At 37.7% G+C, this 24,021-nt stretch overlaps 1 protein-coding gene across 21 annotated transcripts in view, besides 1 other annotated feature; it reads right to left on the reverse strand.

Annotated features, from left to right (window-relative positions):
- The window catches only part of FGF14 (fibroblast growth factor 14), a 691,640-nt gene that overhangs the window by 480,609 nt on the left and 187,010 nt on the right, over positions 1 to 24,021 (reverse strand). For 3 of the 21 annotated variants that reach the window (NM_001321944.1, NM_001321936.1, NM_001321932.1), the window contains exon 2: positions 1,625 to 1,951. The exons of 16 other annotated variants lie outside the window; for them this stretch is intronic. In NM_001321944.1, coding sequence (NP_001308873.1) covers positions 1,625 to 1,628 — 4 coding nt within the window. In that variant the 5' untranslated portion in view covers positions 1,629 to 1,951. Of the gene's footprint in view, positions 1 to 1,624; positions 1,952 to 14,454; positions 14,566 to 24,021 lie in introns of all 21 variants that reach the window. 2 more of the 21 variants (NM_001321943.1, NM_001321931.1) reach the window with 2 other exon arrangements.
- Positions 287 to 1,486: an enhancer, noted in NCBI's record as "MED14-independent group 3 enhancer chr13:102844049-102845248 (GRCh37/hg19 assembly coordinates)". NCBI's record gives its function as "activates an origin of replication core promoter dependent on BRD2, BRD4, P300/CBP and CDK7 cofactors, and independent of MED14, by STARR-seq in HCT116 cells {active_cell/tissue: HCT116}" and the evidence as "EXISTENCE:reporter gene assay evidence [ECO:0000049][PMID:35650434]".

The raw sequence follows: 24,021 nt of genomic DNA on the forward strand, positions 1-24,021 counted from the left end.
CTTTTTCAGGCTTCTTTCTCACTGTGAGCTCCTTTGGTTAACATGCAGAGACAGAGCAACATCTCTGGTATCTCTTCTTTTAAGGGCACTAATCCCATCATGAGTTCCCATTCACATGATCTCATCTAACCTTATTTATCCACCCGAAAGCCTCATCTCTGAATATCATCATATTAACATATAACTTTGAGTGGCACACATATATTCAGTTCATACATTCTGCCCTAGACCCCCAAGATGTCCTTCTCACATGCAAAATACATTAATTTTATCCCAAAAGCCTCAAAAGTCTTAACAGATTCCAGCATCAATTCTAAAGTACAAAGTCTCATTTAAATAGTATCTAAATCAAATATAAGTAAGCCTTATCCCCAAAATCAAAATTATTCTCCAGCTGTAAACCTGTAAAACCATACAAGTTATGTGCTTCCAAATTACAACAGATAGTGGAATAGGCATGAGATAGCCATTCCCATTCCAAAAGGAAAAATTAAGAAAGAAGGAAGGAGAGACAGGCCACAAGAATGTCTAAAACCAACCAAGGCAAATTCCATTAGCTCTTAAGTCTCAAGATATCTCTTTTTCATTTAATGCCATTTATTCTAGACCTACAGGGATAGTGGATCCTGCCTCCAGGCTTTTACACAGCCCTGTCTCCAAGGCCCCACCCCCAGGCTTTAGTCAGAGGCCATATGGCCTATTGAAACTGAGGCAATGGTCCCACCCTTTGCCACAAAGGACACTGACCTGATGATCTCTGAATTGCCTTTGGGGTCACTACTTCATTTTCTTGAAAAGCACAAAGTTAGAGCCAAATAGCTCTCTGGTCTGGTCTTGCAAGATCTAAAAGTCTGGCAGCCTTTATTTCATCTCATTTGTTTCTGACCCCTTAGTTCAAATTGACAGTGTTTTTGCTTGTATAATTGATCTCTATTCCTGGCCTCTTCTGAGATGGCTGATTCAGTCCATGAGTCATTACCACGATCTCTTTATCAAATAATTGTTCAACCACACCCTTCCTGTTGTCTTCACCACAGGCTTTTTTATTTATTTGCAATAGAGATAGGCTGAAAACTTTCCAAATCTTCAACTCTGGTTCCTTTATGCTTAACAATTTCTTCTTCAACTTCTCTCTCTCCTTTCACATTTTACCATAAACAGGAGGAACCAAGCCACTCCTTCAACAATTTGATTAGGTATCTCCTTAGCTAATTATCTAATTTTATCACTTGCAAAATCCAAAGTCTTATCTAAATATTATCTAAGTTTGTTTGTCAAAAATATCAATTTCACAAAACACTAGAACATGGTTAATCCAAGTGCTATGTCACTTTATAAAAGGATCACCTTTCTTCCATTTTCCAGTAATGTTTTTCCTCATTTTCATCTGGGAACTCAACAGAATGGCCTTTAACATCCATATTGATATCAACATTCTCTTCACGATTATTTATTATATTATTATATCTCTAGAAAGATAGATAATTCCCCTTAGCTATTCTCTTTTCTTTCTGCGCCCTCACTCCAACTGCCTTAAATACTTCACTGCAATTTTGGCTTTTTCTAGCATACACCTCAAAACTTTTCCATCCCCTATCCATTGCCCACTTCTAAAGCCACTTACGCATGTTTAGGTATTTGTTGCATCAGCACCCCACTTCCTGGTACCAAAATTAGTGTGAGTCTTCTTGGGCTTCCATAATAAATTACCATAGACTAGGTGGTTTAAGCAACAGAAACTTATTTTCTCACAGTCCTGGAGGGCAGAATTATGAGACAAGCATGCCAGCAGCACACTTTGCCAGGTTCTGGTGGGAGCTCTCCTTCTCTCTGTGCTCTGCCATGGCCTTTCTTTGGAGCATGCGTGTGGAATGAGAAGCAAGCTCTCTGGTGTCTTCTTTTGGGGGCACTCATCTCATCATGAGGGATCCAGTCACATGATCTCATCTAACTGTAATTACAACATAGACATTTTGAGAACACAATAAGGACTTTGAAAAGCTCCAACATGTTTCTGAGAATCTAGAAGGCAACACACATGTGCAGGAAGTTGAGACACCTGAAAAGGTCCTAATTTTTTAACTTTTGCTGACCTTGAGTATCTGAGCAAGCAGGACATTAATGGTAACAGAGTTTTCAACTGCCTACCAGTAAATTGAAGGCATGCACCTAACACACATGGAACTATTCAGGAAAGACTGGGAGAGTTGCTCGTTCAAGATACTAAGGAAATGCATGTCTAGTCATTAGCTGACAATTATGTTAACCAGTTACTACACATGAGAAACTATAGAGTTCTTACAGGAAAGTCATGAAACAAAGAACAACAATAACAAACAGGAACAATAGCAAACTGTGAAGAATGGGATCTGGTTTCCAGAGTTGCTACATCATATTATCTAAAATATTCAGTTTCAAAAAAATCATGATACATGTAAACAAACAGGGGAATATGGCCCCAAAACAAGGGGATAAAATCAGTCATGAATTTTTTTATTATAATTTTTGTCCCTGAAAAAGTCCATGAATTAGAATTCCTAGTCAAAAATTTGAAATAACTTTAAATTATAATTTAAAGCCATTACAATTATTTTCAAAGACCAAAAGTAAACCATGAATACACATTTAAAGAAAAACATGAGAATGATATATCAGCAAATAGATAACATCAACTTAACATATAAATTATTTAAAAAATCGAAATTCTAGAGCTCTAAGATACAATAACTGAAATAAAAAATTTGCTAGGGAGACTTTTTCTATGTTACAAAATTAGCCAACTTTTATTGAGAGCTTAAAACATATTAAAATACATATTAAATACACATTAAAATGTATTGTAAATGCTTTATTTTTCTCTTTTTTTAATTTAATTTTAATTTCTGGGATACATGTACAGGACGTGCAGGTTTGTTACACAGGTAAATGTGTGCCATGGTGGTCTGCTGCACATATCAACCCGTCACCTAGGTATTAAGCCCCACATGCATTAGCTATTTATCCTGATACTCTCCCTCCCACTGCCCCCCTGACAGGCCCCATTGTGTGTTGTTCCCCTGCTAGGGAGACTTAATTGGAAATTTTACTTGGCAGAATAAATAATCAGTGAACTTGAAGACAGGTCAATTGAGACTATCTAGTCTGTGGAATATAAAGAAAAAATAATGAAGAAAAATGAACAAAGTCTCCAATGTCCCTGTGATGCTATCAAGTGTACCAACATCCACATAATGAAAACTTTAGAAGAAGAAGTAAAAGAGAAAAAGTAGAAAAAATATTTGAGGAAACAGTAACCAAATTTTCAAAATTTCATTTGAAAATCATTAAACTATACATATTAAAAGAAACTCAGAATGTATGTAAGATCAACTAAAATTATCCATGCCCAGACATATCATAATCGAATTGTTGTCAACAGTAAAAGATAAAGAGAGAATCTTGAACACAGTAATAGAGAAGTGGCTCATCACATACAGGGGTCCTTGATAAGAGGAACAATTGATTTCTTATCAGAAACTATGGTTTCCAGAAGGCAACGGGATGACATACTCCAAGTACTGAAAGAAAAATACTGTCAAATAAGAATTCTATAATTTTCAGAACTATTCTTCAAAAATGAAAAAAAAAGTGAAGACATTGCCATATAAACAAATGGAAATAATTTGTCACTTATAAATCTACTCTATAAGAAATGCTAAACGGAGTTGTTCAGTCTGAAAATAAAGGACAATAGACAATAAATAGAATCCACATGAAGAAATATTAACAGCACCAGTAGACGTAACAATATAAATAAGCATAAAAAATAGTATGAATATACCCTTGGTTTGTAATTTTTTCCCTGTTTATTTAAAAGGTAACTATACAAATCAACAACTATAAAATGGTGCTGATGGACTTATAATCTGTAAATATTTATTCTTATATAAGAGCACAAAGAAAGGGGGAAAAGTAGAGCTATGTAGCAGCAAAATTTTATATACCACTGACATTAAATTGGTATTGATCCAAACTAAATTGTTAAGATACTAGTTATAATCCTCAGAGCAACCATTAAGAAAAGAATGTAAAAATACAATTAAAGAAATATTAATATTAATGGAATTAAAATGTTATACTAGAAAACATCTATTTAGCATAAAAGAAGAAAATAATGGAAAAAGAGAGAAACAAACAAACAAAAAAAGACATATAGAACACATGTGCCTGGACAACATGGTGAAACCCCATCTGTACAAAAAATACAAAAATTAGTTGAGCATGGTGGCCAATTGGAGGCTGAGGCTGGTGGATCACTTAAGCCCAGGAAGCAGAGGTTGCAGTGAGCCAAGATCACACCACTGCATACAAGCCTGGGTGACGCAGTGAGACCCAGTCTCAAAAAAAAAAAAAAAAAACTCAAATCAAAACAACAGTAAAAAAAACCCACATGTGGCAAAATGGCAGATGTAAAGCTTACTTTATCAGTAATTATACTAACACAGAACATTACATTTGGATAATGATTTTTCTGATTAAATTTGTTGTAGACAGACAGAAAACAGAATTAGATCAGTATTGAGATTACAAAGTGGCATTAGCAACAAGCAAGGAATTGAATCCACAAATGTCTCTTTGGAGAGAGGAAGCAGGATGTATGTGTCACCTCTTAATAGATTCATCAGGATAAACTAAACAGCATGTTCAAAAAGTTTATAGGATTGGCAAATAATGTTTTGGTAAAGTCATTAGAAACCATACAATAGCTATTATGATGATAATTTACAGCCGTGACAATCGTCTAGACAAGAGAATTAAGACATTACTGGTTCCAATTTTAATTTGAAACAAAGCTAACCGTATCATATTAAGTGCCCTAGTCTTGTGGCCTCCAGCCACTGGGTGAAAATGTTAAATTCATTTGCTATTTTTCCCAGAAGAGCTGACAGAAGTAGGCAGGGGTAGGAGAAATGAATGAGTCAATTGTAAAGAAATTTGGATTCAAGCAAAAAAGCCTCAGGAAAGAAAAAAAAATCCTTCCTGCTGCAGCAATGTTATCCAAACAGTGGGGTTCTCAGTTTGCCTAGTACTGAAGGACATCTGATAAACAGCCTCTGGTAAAGAAAAAGGTAGTGGTTTATCTTTTTAAAATTTTTATTTTATTTTTCATTGACCAATAATAATTGTATTTATTTATAGCATACAAGGTGATGTTTTGATATATGTTCACAATGTTGAATGATTAAATCAGACTAATTAACAAATTCATCACCTCACATATAATTTTTTGTGGCAAAAACATGTCAAATCTACCCTTTTAGCAATTTTGAAATATGTAATGCAATCGTATTTATTATAATCACCATTTTGTGTGAAAGATCACTAAAGGTTACTATTCCTGTCTACCAGAAACTTTGTACCGTTTGATCAACATCTACCCCCTTTCCATCCATCCCCCTTTGTCAGGCCCTTTTCAGAGATAAATCACTGGTGGAGACTAGAATGACTGTTACCAGTGGTTTATCTTTGAAGAGTCCACACCTGAGTCCAGATTTTGTTTTTTTGGTTTTTTTTTTTCTGCTCTTACAATGTAAACTTAAAGCAAGATGGACTCTAGTGGTCTCAATGATAAGGAGAGAAAATAGAAAGGAAAGACCTATTTCTGTGAGTAGTATCTGCTAGGATGGGTTCTCAGGACACAGTTATAGACATTCCATTGTAAGAACAGGTATTCATTTACATTTGATGAATGTACAAATCAACCACATTTAGTTTTCCTATTGAGGTTTTATCGTACTCTCTCCAAGCCAATGACTTCTTCACATTCTCCTTTTGGCCCTTCTAAAGTGGATATCAAGTCAAAGTATGAGGTAGTGCATTTCAGAATCATGAGTAGGAAACAATTTCAAGACCCAGAGCCTAACCCCTTTACCAGCACCAAGTACTACTGCCCTAGACCCAGGGGTACACTGGAAGGTATCCTGGCCTGGAAAGTACAAATTGAGCTCTAGGTGGGGCTCTTGCTTTTCCTGAGACCTTGGCCAAGTCACTCAACTTTCCTGACTCTCTCAGTTTCTTTACCTAAAAAAGGAGGAAGATGAACTGGTTGAGCTCTCTTGCATCTTTAGAATTTGGCGGTTTTAGATGCCCCTATCATATAAAATAAATCTCTCAATTCCTTTAAAATAAATATATTTATGCATAAATAATTATATATTTATACATAATAAAGCCATAAATACAAATATCAATATATTTACACATATATAGATACATATTGATATCTTTTATATGTAATTATATATACATACGTAGCATAACACACGTATAGATATACATATGCTATATAAACAAAATATATTATGATAAAAGTGTTTTGAAACAGTCTCCCAACAGCCCATCCAAAATAGTTTTAGATCATTACAAAATTATTTCAGGGTCTCAGAATCAAAACACAGAAAAGCCTCACGGTACACAGTAGCCCACTCCTGATTTGAGATGGCATTAATCAATGAGAAACCTCTAAATAGAGGGCAACCAATATTGTGAAACATGCTGTCTGAGTAGAAATAGCCTCAGAAATCATGGCGAAGCAACACTTTTCTTTTTTCACTCTCTAGCCATGGTCCTCTTCTAACTGGGCACCGACTCTTTCCTCCTCTCCCAGCTTTATCCTTCCCCTACCCGCCCTGGCGCAGAGTTGTCATCTTATGACTCTGGAACCCCCTTGCAATGTGCTGTTTCTGTACCTCACCTCTTGGAGGTAGATGTTGCAGTGGCAGCCTCAAACAGGGATGCTTTTTTAGGCACCATCGGAAGCCACAGCACAGTGCTAGGCAAGAATCAGAGGAATAAAACACAATCTCCTGGAGCTGATGGTCCAGTTGTCCCAACTGGAAAACGAAGTTAGACCACAGTGGTATGCAAAGTGTCTTCTGACTGTAGAATTCTCAGACAAATGAATGCACACCAGTGCCAAATATAACACATTAATTTTAATTGTAGCCCTCTAGAGAGGATGACCTAGCCACTGAGTGAAGATTTCAGGCAGGTGGGCCTTTCTGTTTCCACCGAAATTATATTATATTGGCAGCCACCTAGTCTTAAAATTGCCTTTAGGAAGGCGTAGGAGACTGAATTGGAAAATGCAGCCAGGCAATTTATGGGAAAATTGAACGGAGCGTCCCTCTGAGTAAGGAGACAGGGCGTGGTAATGTCAGTCCTCCTTCTAAAGACCAGAGAAAATTTCTGTTCCACCTGATAAACTCTGTATCCTTTTGGACTTTGTAAATATTGCACTTGGAATTGACTGTCATTTAAATATTGAGAGGAAATCTGCCAAAGTTATTTGATTAGTCAAATGCTTTAAAGATTCATTAAAATACCAACCCTGTGGGATGAGGGGAGGTATTTTATTCAATGCCTTCCTCATGTGGTATCTCTGACATGGCTTATGGACATCCTCAGTAGTTCCAAAGGGATTAAATGTTTAAGTTCCTGGAACAAATGGAAAGTGCTTACTCCTCACTCTTTGTCAAACTCTAAAACTACGACTGCCTCAGTGAAACCCCCAATATCCTTATGTCTAAATGTCACAATGATGATGCAGGTCTTGAAATATACAAAGAACTGGCTTAAGCTGATATAAATCAGAACCTGAAACACTATTATTTCACTACTACAAATAGTTTAAAGTTTGTAAAGATGTGTAGGTGGTTCTTAGTTTTATTATCTTTGCTGTGAGTCACTAATATTGCTTCATAGTGGAAACTGTCCATTTAAACTAAAATAAATCTTGTCCACAGAGAAAGCTGGTATTGGTTGCTTTTTAGTTAAAACAGTGTAAAGCCTTGGTTTAATAGAGAGTTCGTCTTTCTTCTGAGGAATTAAAACATGTTCATACAATAGATTATCTTTTTATATCTTTCCTTCTACCACTTTACCTCTAATACTAGGATAACTAGCTAACATTTAATGAATGATTTCTAAATGCTAGGTGGTGAGTTGGTGAGTTAAAGTGGCTTTCTATGGATTATTTGTCTTCAGAACAACCCAATGAGCCAGGTACTTTTGTGACTTGATGAAGATAAACAACTTGATTAGGTAGCAAACCTAGTTAGTCATGGAGCCAGAAACCCAATCTTTGACACTAGACTAGATGAATTCATTACAAAGTCTTTCCAAAGGGTCCGTCTATCCAGCCTCTTCTTTTTCATATTTTCCCTTAGGCATTTTCTGTTTGGAGAGTACAAAAGACCTCTAACCCACCTCTCTGATCCCATGCTGTAACCCACTCCACAGCCAGTCTACACTCTAATCTCACGCACTGCAATATATTCACTCATGTAATCCAATCCTTCAGAAAAATCCAAACTCACACATCCTTCGCATTCACAATTTTCTTCTTTCTCAGTGTGCCACATGCCAGACTTTAGAGCGTGTTTCTCTCCCTATCTGAGACCCCATCTTCTTCTGCACCTCAAACCCACTTCCTCCAAGCAAGCTTTCCACAGCACTTACTAGGCACATTACACTTTGGGGATGCACCCTTGTCCTGGATTAAGAAAATAATGTATGCTGCAATAGAAAGATCACAGGGCTTAGCATCCAGAGACAGGTGTTAAAATCCTGTTTCACTTGCAATTTTACTTAATATCATGTGGCCTCAGTGTTGTCATCTGTGATGGGGAGTCATTACTATCTGCCGCATAGAGTTGCTAATAGGGATTAAATGAAATTGTGAACACACACACACATATATGCACACACACAAATATATGTATATATTTATATGCATATACTTTCACATATGTAGAATTTCATTTAATCCTTGTTATATTTATGCATGAATATATGTGCATTTATATATATATAATTTTGTATACCCACATATAATAACTTTGAAAACTATAAAATGCTCTAAAGAGGTAAACAATCATTACTGTTGCTAAACTGATTTATTATGTATGTATATTTTGCTTCCTCAACTACATTTTTTATTCCTAAAGGACAGCAATTCTTTTCATTTATATCTTTCTCTTTCTCAGATTCTAGCACAGTGCTATACACCATAAAAAATGCTCCCCAAATACTTGAGTAAGAATATTCCCAAGACCTCTAGGGAGAAATCATGATTCCCATATTATATGTTAGAAAAACGTCAAGGCAAGAAAGTGGCCAGCCAACTAGCCATTGGGAAATGCAGGTCTTCTCATTCCCATTTGATTGTTTTTTTTTTTTTTCAACCAGGCTGTTCTGTCAGCTTTTTCCTTAATAAATCGGACTTCATTTTTACTAATGACAGTCAGAGACTCTACTTACTATTTGTGGGCAGCACCAAGTAGGTGGAGTGTCGACTTCATTTGGAGGGTGTCATTGCAATGAAAAAACACCCTGACAACTTGAAGATGTGGGCAGATATAAACAACAGCATTGAGGCGGTAGCTCATGCCTGTAATCCCAGCACATTGGGAGGACAAGGCGGGCGGATCATGAGGTCGGGAGATCGAGACCATCTTGGCTAACATGGTGAAACCCCGTCTCTACTAAAAACACAAAAAATTAGCCAGGCGTGGTGGGGGGCGCCTGTAGTCCCAGCTACTGGGGAGGCTGAGGCAGGAGAATGGCGTGAACCCGGGAGGCGGAGCTTGCTTGAGCTGAGATCGCGCCACTGCACTCCAGCTTGGGCGACAGAGCGAGACTCCGTCTCTCAAAAAAAAAAAAAAAAAAAAAAAAAAAAAAAAAGACTAATGTCTTCTTTATCAAAAGTCTCCTCAGGAACAGTTTGAAATGAGAATGCTAAAATTTAAGATCTAGTGGGCGATCTCCTCAAGCTAGTTCATATTACTTAGTTTCCTTTGAATCCATCTCTACTTTAGGATTCTCCAACATGACAAGTAAAGACAACATGGAGAGAGCTGCGAGAGAATAACAAAGGTGCCAAGGGATTTGTAAAATCTATCCGTGAACATGTAGAGTTCACAGGAAAAGAGAAAGAGAAATGCCCTTAGTGTACAAAGGAAAGCAGCTACCATCATTTTTCAAAACCCTCCAAAATGATTATAAATTCCCTAAGAATAGGGATTGGCTGAAAAAATTCTCTGAGGTGTGATTCACAAATTTAATTCTTCTGTTGTTTCACTGAAAATCGTCTCCAGGGCAGATAATGAAATCTCTTTTGAACACATGCATTTGATTCTTTACCAAGATGTTAGAGGATGCAAAACCTTAGATGGTCCAGAAACTGAATGATGAGCTACTGAGCATGATGTATAAGACAAGGTGAAGAAGATAGCAGAGGGAAATGTTTGGAAAGAATATTAATCTGGCACTGTTGTGATCCTGAAGCTGAAGAGAATGCTGAGGGACAAATTTCCTCTGGAGAGAGGCAGGGATTGAAAACTAAAGAATAATGTTTCCCTATTTCTGTTACTGGGGGACGGACAGTACGACCAGAAAGACAATGTACCTCCCTGATGTGGTTTGGATCTGTGTCCCTTCCCAAATCTCCCGTTGGATTATAATCCCCAGTGTTGGATGTGGGGCCTGGTGGGAGGTGATGGGATCATGAATGGTTTAGCACCATCTTCCCTTGGTACTGTGTAGTGAGTGAGCTCCCATGAGATCTGGTTGTTTAAAAGTGTGTGGCACCTCCCCCAATCTCTTTTCCTCCTGCTCCTGCCATGTGAAGTGCTGCCTCCCCCTTCGCCTTCACCGCGACTGTAAGTTCCCTGAGGCCTCCCCAGAAGCAGATGCTGCCATGCTTCCTATACAGCCTGCGAAACCATGAGCCAGTTAAACCTCTTTTCTTTATAAGTTACCCAGTCTCCAGTGTTTCTTTATAGCAAAACAAGAATGGACTAATATACTCCCATAAGCCAGGGCCCCAAGAAAGATTATCATGGTCGGGAAACAGTTAGTGCCAAGGGCCTATAAGGATGCGGTCATTGATGAGAAGAAGTGGTATGGAAGTTGGTAACACTAGTTCTCATTCCCCCACACAAAAAGGAGACCCATGAGCAGGAAGCAAGTTTATGATACTACAGAGAGAGAAGGTGATAAGTGAGGGTGATGGCCAGGGCAGAAGGAGGAATTACAGAACATTTTGAATCACCACTAGTCTGTTCATATTACACAGAAAACATTCAGTTTACGCCAGATGATATCCTGCTGCATTGGGGGAAAAAGTCCTTTGCAGTTGTTTCACAGAATTAAACTTTCTCATCTTAGCAGTATGGCTGTTGCTACCTTTTGAAGCCTCATAATGAGAGCCTTCTCATCTTAGAAAAGGTCTGACCTAGTGTGCTTAGAGTTATTGTTTTTCACTTTTTATTCCAGAACTTCAAAAGCATTTGCAGAGAAGTGCTATCCTTACGTAGTAGACAATTTGGTAAAATGTCCTTTTCTGAGTTCCATGGCATTATTCTGACCACCAGCAAGAAAAGGGCTCAGACTTAGAATACTGCAGTGCTGCTGTGCTTTTAATGCCCCGTCCAAAACTCTCAAAGAAATGGAGAATGGGCAAAGGAGCCCACAGGCCTCGATACTGGTGCTCAGGAGGCAGTGCTGTCCAAACCTTCAGTCTTAATGTAGATAACTAATAACCAGATCAGGATTTACCAAAGTCCCTCCAAGGCAGAGACAGGCATGGAAGACAGGAAACCCTATTCCAGCAGCATTATGAAGAGCCACAGCCACCATCATTTAAAGCACAGGGCAAATTCTACTCCAGTTCGATGTTTTATTACAGCATGTGTTTTCCTTTGTTTTGATAGCAGTATATTTGTCTTCTTAATTATGTTTTATGTAAATACTGTAATAAATTAGTTTGCATCTCCCAAGTGCATATCAACAACTAATTAAATGTCAGCCCCTCAAAAGACAAAAGAGAATCTGCTTTGTAAATACATAGTCATAAATCTCTTGAACTACGTGATGTATGTGAAGACTTTTGTTATAATTTTTATAAGAAAGAATAAAATCCTGAATAACCCTAGAAAGATATTAGCGCAACTATAGAACTATTGCCTCTGGGGAGAGGCACTGGGTGGCCCAAGAACAAGCATGCACAGAGCCCTTTCCCTAGGATCCTTTAGTTATAATTTTGTACAATGCATCTATGACCTCTTTGAAAGTAAATTACATAATTTCTTGATTTTAATACAAAATGAGACCAATAAGAGGATATTAGTGAAATTTAATTATGTTTTATTATTTTTAAAATCTAGAATATTCATATCTGGAAAACTTTTATTAAGGAAAAATAAAATTTTATTGAAACAGTGAATTTTAAACATTGTTCCACTTTGCTTTTAAGTGTACTTCATGAAGTCTAATTTTTTATTATGGAATAAAGTTACAATCTTCATTTTTTTCTTCCAATTAACACAGGTTTTGACACCAATTTGCATTAGGACAAATACAATTTAATGTGATGAGACCATGCACCACATCCCCCATTAAAGTTGGACTGTATGATTGGAAACAACTGCTAATTAAAGCCTAATTGTTACCTTCTGTGCACTGTTCACTTAATTAGATAAGTGGCTTCTGACAGAACAACTGGTTTATGCTCAGTGGGAAAGACTACATGACCAGGTACTATAGATGGCCAAGGTCTCCAGTCTTGCAGAACAACATGGATTTTGAGTTTCTGCTCCAATTAAAACTTTCAGTTACCACAGTGGAAACTGAATTCATGGCAACAATATCCAAAATTGTGATTTGACTCAGCTTCAGATTCGGGCAGGTTTTACAGGACCCAGATAAACTTAGGAGGTAGGTAGTGTTTGTGTTTCGCACATTGCTGTCTGGCCCACTTCAGCCAAGCTTGTCTGAGCCTCCACCATATGTGATGGTTGCTCAAAAACTGCTTCTCCTGAGTCCACTTAGTTCAATTTTCCCAGGAAGAAACAAACACACACACACACTCATACTCCTCCCATCTCAGATATCTAAGCTACGATTTGGGCTGGATAAACTGGACAACCTCATCTCCCACCCACTGTAACCACACCTCTCTGTGCCAAACCTCAGTTTAGTGGCCAGGAAAGCAGAGACAGCAGGGCAGAGTGAGTTGGGCATGGCCCATATATATGGTTGGTGCAGGTTCAAACATTTTTATTTAATTTGGGGCAAGCATCTTTTATTTTATTTTATTTTATTTTATTTTTTGAGACAGAGTCTTCCTCTGTCACCCAGGCTGGGGTGCAGTGGTGCGGTCGTGGCTCACTGCAAACTCCACCTCCCAGGTTCAAGCAATTCTCCTGCCTCAGCCTCCCGAGTAGCTGGGATTACAGGCATGCACCACCACGCCTGGCTAATTTTTATATTATTAGTAGAGATGGGGTTTCACCATGTTGGCCACGCTAGTCTCGAACTCCTGACCAAGTGATGCTCCCACCTCGGCCTCCCAAAGTGCTAGGATTGGTGCAAGGATCTTTATGATAAAACTTAAGGCAGGAAAAGGACAAATGGCCAAGATGATTATATCACAAGGTATAAGATTAAAGCCATGGCAACACAAGGAGATAAAGTAGACAATGTGGGGGCATTCTACAAAAAGAGATAAAATGTCTTGGTACAAGTTAGGTTGATTTTGTACTTCAGGGGAAAACTGGCAATCAGAGTATATGTATTTTCCTTCTCTGCACACCTCCACTTGGCCCCATCTTGAGACAGCTTTCTTCTCTACTGCTTATTCTGAGAATAGCTTTCTTCTCCCTTGCTTACAGAGCCAGCAGAAACTGAGAGAAGAAGGGCTTTGGTACATGGCATTAGGTGTGTATGTGTGTGTGTGCATGTGAATGCACATGTGTTAACCTGGGAATTATTTAACTTCTATGAGCTTTGGTTTTTCCATTTATAAAATGGAGAATATTTCTAATATTGACCTTACAAAACTGATATAAAGTCTAAATGAGATGATGCACATGGAATGCTTAACATAAAACAAGGCGCACACACTCAAAAAAAACCCAATGGTAATTATTGCTATTATTATAGTCAATATATAATAATTGGACTTGGTTGGAATGGAAACAAAGCATTTAACTAAAGTACTGTAGGTATTGTGTGTGGGCATTAGACATTACACATGTCATAGATATTGTGCTATGGGAGATGCAAAGTATAACATATGGTCCCTGACCTCAATTTGCCTTCAAGGGTCAGAGGGGGAGGAATTAATAAACCACAGGAAGAAATTGATAGCCTGGTATATATTCTCCAAAGGGAAAGAGTTCTCCAAATGGGAGATGCTAGACTGGAGGGGTATAAACTGCCTTCAGAAAGGGAAAGAAACATGAAAGCATTTTGCCATCTCTCCCCCGAGAAAGGTTGAGAGACAAAAAAAAAAAACCTCCATAAATAAACTGTTTAAACTTCCCTCATAATTCAGTGTGTCTACAAACAAAAAAGTAGGAGCCCCTATGCAAAATGGGAAGTGGAAAGTGGGTCAGGCAAGCAGCAACTCACACACTCCTAGTGGAAGCCATGAGGAGCATCACACACTAGACTATCCAGTTGGGGTGACGTGGACCAGTCACTGGGACTTGGCTTCCACGAGAAGGTAGCTCAAGAAGCTCCCTGTGGTAAAAAAAAAAAAAAAAAAAAAAAAAAAAAAAAAAAAAAAAAAAAAAAAAAGCATTAGATTCCAGCTACTAGGATTACAGGTAAATTCATTAGGGGTTGGAATGGAAACAAAGCATTTAACTAATTCACACTAGTCAACCTTCAAACACACACACACACACACACACGGGCTACATGCTATTTGTTTTTTCAGAGGACCTTTTCAGAGCAAGTTGGGTGTACGGTAAAAATCTCATTCCTCGATGCATAGGAATACAGATGCAGTGAATTCTGTGAAGCTCCCACATCCTCTCCGGTTTCCTAGGGTCCTACTCTGACCAATTCAGATGAAAATTTTGTGAGCTAATAAATAAATAAATAAGCCACAGCACTTTAAATGAAAAAAAGAATCTTTCTTAAAATTATATTAATATCAGGCCCGGCGCAGTGGCTCACGCCTGTAATCCCAGCACTTTGGGAGGCTGAGGCGGGCAGATCACTGGAGGTCAGGAGTTCAAGACCAGCCTAGCCAACATGATGAAAACCTGTCTCCACCAAAAAATACAAAATTAGCCAGGCATGGTGATGTGCGCCTGTACTCCCAGCTACTCAGTAAGTTGAGGTGGGAGGATCACTTGAATCCAGGAGGTGGAGGTTACAGTGAGCCCAGATGGCACCACTGCACTCCAGCCTGGGCAACAGAGTGAGTCCCTGTCTCAAAGAATATATATATTATTATCAAATTGAAGTGTTTTGAAGGTGTTTGCAGAAACAACAGATGAAAGAACTGAGTGTGAAAATATCACGTGAATCAATAGGAATTTGAATTATCTTGAATCCTTTAGGCTTTTCATGCCATTGCACACAACAAGCTAAATATTCTAATCAGGTGAAAATTAGGGCATCATTTTATCAGGTATAAAGCCAAATATTTGGGGCACTATCTCATCTTAAATCACACCACTGACTACCTAAATGTCAATAATTCGTAAAAGCCTGTATTGGATAAAAAGGTCAGAAACAAGTTTTCCCCTCCTGGTCGGGTACAATGGCTCATACCTGTAATCCCAACACTTTGGGAGGCTGAGGTAGGCAGATCGTGAGGCCAAGAGTTTGAGACCAGTCTGGCCAACATGGTGAAACCCCATCTCTACTAAAAATACAAAAATTAGCCAGGCATGGTGGCACATGCCTGTAATACCAACTACTCCAGAGGCTCAGGCAGGAAAATCGCTTGAACCCAGGAGGCAGAGGTTGCAGTGAGCCGAGATCATGCCACTGCACTCCAGCCTGGGAGATACAGTGAGACTCCATCTCGAAAAAATAAATAAATAAATAAAAGAAAGAAAAAAAGAAAAAAACTCCCCTCCAAACCTTAGATTTAATATTTTCTCAATTCAGTTAATGCAAGGACCCATGAGAAGCCATTTTACACCTCAAAGTTTCTAAACTCAGGGAAATTGACAAAAAATGGTCATCAAAGAAAGCCATATTTATAAACAAGCAAAACAACTTAGTAAATTTTTTCAAAAAACAAATGAGGGGGAGAGTCAAAGTATCTGAAAAGCATTTGAAAAATGCTGGTCTTGAAAAAAAAATAACAATGACATTTTAACACGTTTTGCAACATCTGTCCTTGAGAAAAAAGGGTCAGTTTTCATTAAAAAAAAAAAAAAAAAAAAAAGACAGTGTTTATAGACCTAGAAGGTCTTTCAAACATAATGGCCTAAAATGAATGTTTTGAAGGTGAAAATAAAGTGCATATAGGATTTTCCAAAATGTCTGTGCTGAATGTTTGACATCACCTAGCCCAAACATTGCATTTTTCTAATTACAATAGTTCAAAAAGGTTAAATGATCTGTTCATAGCTGCACAGTGAACCAGTGATTTTTCTTACCCAATGATAGAAGAAGCCAGTTCCTCCATCTACACTACATTCCACTAAATCACATCAGCTCATAAATCTACAGAGTTCACAAAAATGTTTAGTGGGATTGTGCCTTTGATTTACAGAGGAAAAAAATGTGTTTTTCTGTAATTTTCTCTAGGGACTCTCACTTCATTAAAACTTTAATTTCCAAGATAAGTTATCCAAGATCATTTCCAAGGTTAATATAGCATTTGAAAAACATAAGTCACCTCTCTTCATTCAACTAAGGCAACACATAGCCAGCAAAAAGCAGTGACGGTGAGAGATTCGCAAGGGGAAAGGCAGAATCGCTCCACTCAAATCTGTTCTCTTTTTTCATTTAATCTGTAATCAGAAAGCAATGCTGACAAGCCCTTTGAGGTCCTGGAGTGTGCTAAGACACACATCAAGTATCACTCATTTAAAAATAAAAGGCTTGTTGTTCAGGAGCATTTGTGTTGGTTGTGTTGCTATTTTATTTTCTAATTTTCATCTCCCTGGAGTCAAAGTACACAGCATCATGCTTCCATAAAAACAGTAATTAAAGCTTTTAAAATATACATATTAGCAGATCACACACTCCTATCAGTTTATCTTGTGAATATCATAAATACCATGCACACAACAGATAGAAATTGCATAAACAGAAAAATTCTGCATTATTCATGAACTGTAGTTTGCTTTTCCCTTGGCTCCATGCTACTAAGGAATATGTGTGCTTGTGTACATATTCCCTGTTAAAAACCACATCTTTAACTACAACATAGTTTATGTTGAGGTATTTTAAATGTGAGGATTATTACATTTTAAAATGTGAGTATATTGCAGTTGAGTTTATCCTACCTCACACTTGGGAATGAAAGGAGATCATCCAAGACATAACCAAAATATTATTGACTCATTAGTAAAAATCCAAAGAGAGTATTTATCAAGGGTGGGTCATATTTTCAACAGCTGTCCCCCTGTTGAATATAGATATTTCGTAACACAAACAATATAAAAAGACACTAGCAAAAATAACCACAATATATGAAATAGGCTCGTTGTATTATTTCTACCCAAATTTAAATGATTCTTTTCACTCCCTCCAGCAGAATCACACTCCAAAAGTGAAATTTCTTGAATGGAGAATTTACAATGAGTTTCTTGGGAACAGACTCAGAGATGAAAACAGCTATGAGAGGTACTCCCAAGAATACACTTGCGAGGACGCGAGGAAGGCAGGACTGGGTGGAGGGGAAAGCTCAATGGTTCCAACAGAAGCCTTAGGCCAATTCTACAAGGAGCTCTAGAGCTGAGCTGACCCTTCAGCTTTGTTTCCAGTTGGGTATGAGGTTCCTTATCTGGGTGACAGTTTCAATCAAAGCCCAAACCTTGGGGTATTTGTAATGAACCAAATCCTCCACTTTTGTGAAATCATGAATCCAGAAGGAGACATCCTAGGCATATTATTTAGAATTTTGCAAGTTAGTATCAGAATAAATATAAACAGAAACAGTCAAAAACTGTTGGTGTCTGAAGCTGAGTATGTTCTTCATGAATTTTGCATTTTCCGCACTATACAATAAATTAATGTACTTTTAAAAAAGAAAGAAGATTTGTTCCAGTTGAAGCCAGGCATTTGTACCCCTGCACCAGCTAGACAGGGCTGTACACCAGCATGTTAATCTAGGGCCAGGCAGGTCCCTTTGGCTGAGAGCATGAGAGCAATTCTCCAGTGAGAGGCAGCTATAAGCTATCAGTTGTCCATTTTCTCAGCATCTGGGAATCATGCTTCTGACTTGAAGCAGGGAGCTAGGAAGAGTACCATAGTATCCCTACAAAGGGGATTTTAAATTGTAGCAAGCACCACCAATTGCAATTTCAAGCTAGAGCAATCTTGATTCAAACTTTTAACATCTACAATAGATTAAGGGTTCCTAGCCAATGAAAGGCAAGCACCTATTAAACAAAAGAGAGAATAAACAAATTTTTAATTAAAAACTGGGAAGAGAGGAAAGACAAATATATCTTTTTCTCATCAATTCATTTATAAAAACAATTGTTCTCAGCACTTAAAACTATAAAAATAAAAAATTAAAATACAATTAATATTGAGCCTTTTCTCATTCTAGTAATAAGTAATGTCACCCCAGATGAATAAACTAATTAAAATATTTAAAGCCCATCTGTTTCATTAACAGATGCATTTTAAAACAAATATAGTTATTTTTATTGGTTACCTAAATCTAAAATTATTTTGATCAATGATACTAATGAAAATCTAATTCAGAAAAAAAAATTTTTAATTTATATAAATATTTTCATTATAGAGAGGTATGAAAGAGTGATCAATAAAAGCCTTTAAAGTATAGATATATTACTTTAAGTTCTGTGAAGAAAGTTAAATGGAAATAACAGTTCATGGAGGAAAGGAAAGGATAGAAAAATTTCCATATGTTAAAGAAGAGATTATTTATGTATTTTAAATGAATAGCAGTAGTGAACAAATCACGGTAGTTTCCAGATATAATCATATATTCTTAAAAGAGAGATGTACCATTTTTGTTCTAAAATGGAAACATTTACATTAAAAACTACATAATTTGGGACTGTAGTATTTAAATTTGTGATATAAATTTTAGGCTTCATTTAAAAATGTGCAAGGGGACAGATAGATTTCCAAAATTATTTTGGGGGTGGGTAGTGCAAAAGCAAAACAGCTGACAGAGTACCTGTTTTTAAAGTCCCTCCCAACTCTTAGCTACTTATTGTTATAAATGGTGTGTTTCCCATGGCCCTGAAACTATTGCCTATCCAGAACCTTAGGACTACCAACAGAAACATGTTTAATTAAATGTCAAGAAAGCATTTTAAGAACCCTACCCAGCACAGTAAAGGAACAAAAACTGATCACATTAAAACCACGTAGGACAGAGAATATTGGAAAATGAGGGGGTTTCAAGGTAGAGAAAAATCCAACTCACCAAACTCCAGAAGGGCAAAATAGTGCATGGTATGGAGTCAAAATAATCATAGTCTCAATTGTAGCGTAAGCCGAATGCAGTATTGTTTTTATTGTCATGAGGTAACTCTTGTCTTAGGCGGTGAACAACCTCTTGGGACGAAAGACCCCTGGGTTCTCTCTTTTTTGCAACAACTATGACCACCTTTGTTTATTTCTCTGACTGCCCTCCTCCCTTTATTCTCATTTTTTATCTTTCTATCTCTCTGCTTAAAGACCCCATCTTAGTAAAAAAGAAAATATTATAGTTATAATGCAAAAGGGAACAACATAAAAATCACTCATTATTTTACCAAGAACAAGAGACAGATTGGCCAAAATAACTTTACAGGAAGGAAGAGTTAATTAACAACACACTCTGGTCAGTCTCTTAAATCCCTATATCTATTTTCATTCCAAAAAAATACATATTAATAATAATATGTGTGTGATTTACCCCACTCTTATCTAAGAAAACATTTTAAAGAACATTTTAAACAACAGCATTTAAAGAATGCCTTGCTCTGTTGTAAATTTGCTTACTCCCCTCATCTTAGTCAGAATTGATGTGTTCATATGATCACTTTACTACTTTCAAAGATTATTTTTGCATCTTTCATTTTAGCTCAAAATTAATCAGATCTTTGGTTCAATTACTTCCAAAACTTTTTGAAGTTAGAGTTAAGGGGGGAAAAAGCCAACAGACAATTTTTCCCTGCTTAGTACATCTTTTGCTACTTGGCTACAACAAACACACACTGGACCCTTGTGTGCCAGGAAGCTGGTGGGCCCAGAGAAAGGGCTGGCTCTCAAACCTACTTCACATTTTAATTTTGTTCAATATATTTTCAATGAAATTTGGTTGCTCTTTTAAACCCTAACTCAAAAAGAGTTCAAGATCAGCAAAGTTACAAACAGCTTTATTCATAACCAGAATAATTTGCCAAACAGAGCAGAGGAGCTGGGCAAGCACTCTAGATCGCTTTTCATACATAGGACTTCAATTCTGAGACTGCCTTTTGTTACTAAAGCTTCTTGGTTCAATTTGACATGCATATAATTTTGCTCAATTTTTCTCGTATCAATCCTAAATGTCCATTCCATTAAGTCAAGCTCCCTGAGTTTGCTTAAATTTCCCTTTCACAGTTACTCAGTTGTTTTCCGAAAGAGCACTTAGGGCTCCTTCGTTTCCAGGTTTTCTCTCATTAGAGGACGTTAGGGAATAAACAGATGACCCTGATTCCAATTCCCCAACCAGTTCCACAACTGGTCTGCCCAAATAGGTGATCTTTGTGCATCTTATTCCATACTAGTTCCCACTGACTTCCTTCTCTGCCGTCTCAGGCCTCCTTCAAAACTTTTCATTTGTTTGTTGGTTTAATATGACATGTTTTTTTAAAGAACTAAGGTAGGTCAACCTGTTTCCCAGGCTATAAGCAAATGGAAGGAGAGTATCAACCTTGAGCATCACACAAATTCATCGAACACAGTAAAGTCTAACATGCAATAGTCCCAGAAACTTACCAAAGGGATCTCAAAGCATCTCTGAACCTGAATCCCCCTGACCTCCACCCTTCACCTCCCACAGGAGAGCTCTGAGGGCACAGTGCTCCCTGGGCAGCCCTGTCCCCCTGCTATTCTGTTCATTTCAGAATCTGCCTTTCTCTGCCTCCATCTTTAAGCTTCTGAAGGTGAGGAACCATATCTCTCTTCTCCTTCTCCTTCTCTTGACAACTTCAGAGCTACAAATAACATACTCTGGGCACAGCTTTGGAAATATGCATTGAATGAAGAAAACAGGGAATTATGATTCTAACATTATTATCAGATTAACAAGGACTAATTACAAGTCTGACAATTGAGGAGGGCAAATAACTCTCTACCTCTTCAAAATTTACAGATATCCTGACATTACAGCCATCTCAACACATATTATGAGTTGAATTATGATGGGCTTCTACCAGCACTGCCAAGCATAGCTTACAAAAAGCTTTGCTCCGTAGGAGTCTATTGTCACCAGGCTGCATGTTGCAACTAAATCCAAATAAAGTCTGTGACTCCACTTCCCCACCCCCCACAGTGCAAAACACTTAGCTTTCTGCAAGAGGGACAGAAAAGTAAGCTGAATGCTGCCAGTTGTCAGCCTTTTTTACATACTGTGGCAACTGCCACTTTTAAAATTATACAACACCTTGAAAGAAATAACAAAGATGGAGATTTCTTCGAAAACAGCTCTAAAGCAGCCTGCTAAGCAGGAGATTCACGCCTGCAGCCAACATTTACCCCGTCTGCCTTGCAATTTCAGGATCAGTATACATCAAATCAAGTGAACAACCCAGGGAATTCTGCCGTTACCTTTTAGAAACAGAATAAATATTAACAGAGCTTTACTTCTTTCCACCAAGGAGGACTATATGTTAATACAGTAATTTACACTGGAAAAAATATAAATGAAAGGGTTTAGAACCTCATAACTTTAAAAATAACATAATTCCTCCTAGAACATTCCTTTCACTTGTGATTCTCAAAGCACTTTGCATTTCCCAGCTATTGGCAGGGCTGGAATTAGGATCAAAGTATCACTAAATGGTAGGTGAAATAAATGTGAAGCTGATTTTCAGGAGTACAGGAATGGAGTCATCAGGCGACTTTAAAGTTAAGAATCTGTTGGAGCAGCTGCCAATAAATCAAGGCCCAAAGGAGAAAGTTCTTTGGAAACCTTGAAATATTGTATACATTTAGATAATTATTGTTGTTGTCAATGTTAACGAAAAAAGCAATAAATCAGGGAGATGGCACTGATGAGTGAGGAGAAATAGACTCAACAATTTAAATGGAATCATTCCTTATCCTCCTTCCCCAACAAGCAGCCTCAACAGTGTTTGCTTCTGCCTGCCAACAGCCAAGCCAAGTGAGAAAACACTATATACCCTCCCTATATGTCCCAGCCATCAGTTACCAGCCTCTTTAGATGGCACTAATGAAAAACAACCTGTAGGTCTTCCTGTCTCCTTTAACTAGGAGACAGCTCAGTCTATGGTACTAATAGGTATTACTCAGATGCTCCAGCCTCAAGAATGAGGAAGACTGATGATACCTTTGGCCTGAGAAAGCCTCTGGGTGAGAATTCAGATCATCACTCAGGAGTCAGGTCTTACAGACAAGGTGGCCCCTCTCCTGAAATGACTGACCAGTTGAAAAGCAAGCATCGAGTCCCTCCGCTGCAGCACATTATTTGGCCTTAGCCTAACCTTTTCCTTTACTGTCTTGAGTTGCACTCCATAACTTGTAATACTTGAGTTGGCTGCACTTGCAAAATTAACAATATTGGTCCATCGCTGTTGCTCAGGAAGATCCTTTCACTCTCTGGACTTGCTCATTAATTCCCTTCCTTTGCCATTAATTACTTTCAACCAAATGATGAAATGTTGTCATTTTTTAAAGTTCTGTTTATTTTGAAGCTATCACGCAGTGTCATTTTTATTGTCTCCTTCTATTCTTACTTTGAGGCTCTAAACCATCATTTAAGATTCAGAAGCTTAAAAAAATATATACAAATGTATATAGGTTTTCCTTCCTCAGGATACATCATTGGGTGGCTCCAAGAAGGATCCACAGCCTTTTATGAAACTATTTGAGCAACTTGGTCATCACACAATAAACACAACAAAAATACTCATTAAGTGTGTTAAATTCATCCTTTAAGTCATAATCCCTGGAATGCCATTTAGTTTCAACACTCACCACTCCCTACAGAAGCTAGGCAACCATCTGGAATGATCTCCTCTCACTGTGTTGTTAAGTTCATTATGTATAATTTATATTTCTAGATCAGGGGATCTCAACCGGAAGAGATATTTGGCTACTGCTGGAGACATTTTTCATTGTCACAACTTGGGGGCTGCCACTGGCATCATGTGGGTAGGGGTCAGAGATGCAGCTAAGCATCTGATAATGCATAGGACAGCCCCGCAGATAAAAAATTATCCAGCCCAAAATGTCAGTGATGTCAAGGTTGAGAAATCTTGTTCTAGACGTTCTATCTTGCCTAAGTTGCTCATATTTGGTATGGAAAGGCCATTTACTCATCAGCCTGAAGAGTTCCCATAAAACCTGAAAGAACAACTCACCTATGAAGAAAGGAGTGGGAAACAGATTCTTTTTTGGTGGGAACTGAATGTCACCACCCACATGCTGTGAAGGAGAAACATATCACTATTCACTCTTCTAGGAAAATTAAGTTTAAAATTTCACAATTTACCTCTTCTTTTGGTTCATATGCAAATTATAAGGTACTAAAAATGGGAGACACTGACAGGTTAATTGCTCCCACTCTTCTGGTCCAGCTGCACAGAGCTGAGGCAGAGGGAGCACAGAGAAGTGAGAGAACCTCCAAGGTCAGCATGCTCCAGCACTGGATACATCAGCATATCATGGGTTTTGAGTTAGAATAACTGATAACATAACACATGTACTTGAAGTTCACTGATTTGATTCCAGCTTTTTAAAAATAATCTTTTAAGCAGAAGCTGGCACTGCTTTTTACTCCTTTATTTTTTTCTCTGTACCTCTTAAAAA

The sequence above is a fragment of the Homo sapiens genome, chromosome 13, assembly GCF_000001405.40.
Source record: "Homo sapiens chromosome 13, GRCh38.p14 Primary Assembly".
In the NCBI taxonomy this organism is placed as follows: Eukaryota; Metazoa; Chordata; class Mammalia; order Primates; family Hominidae; genus Homo; species Homo sapiens.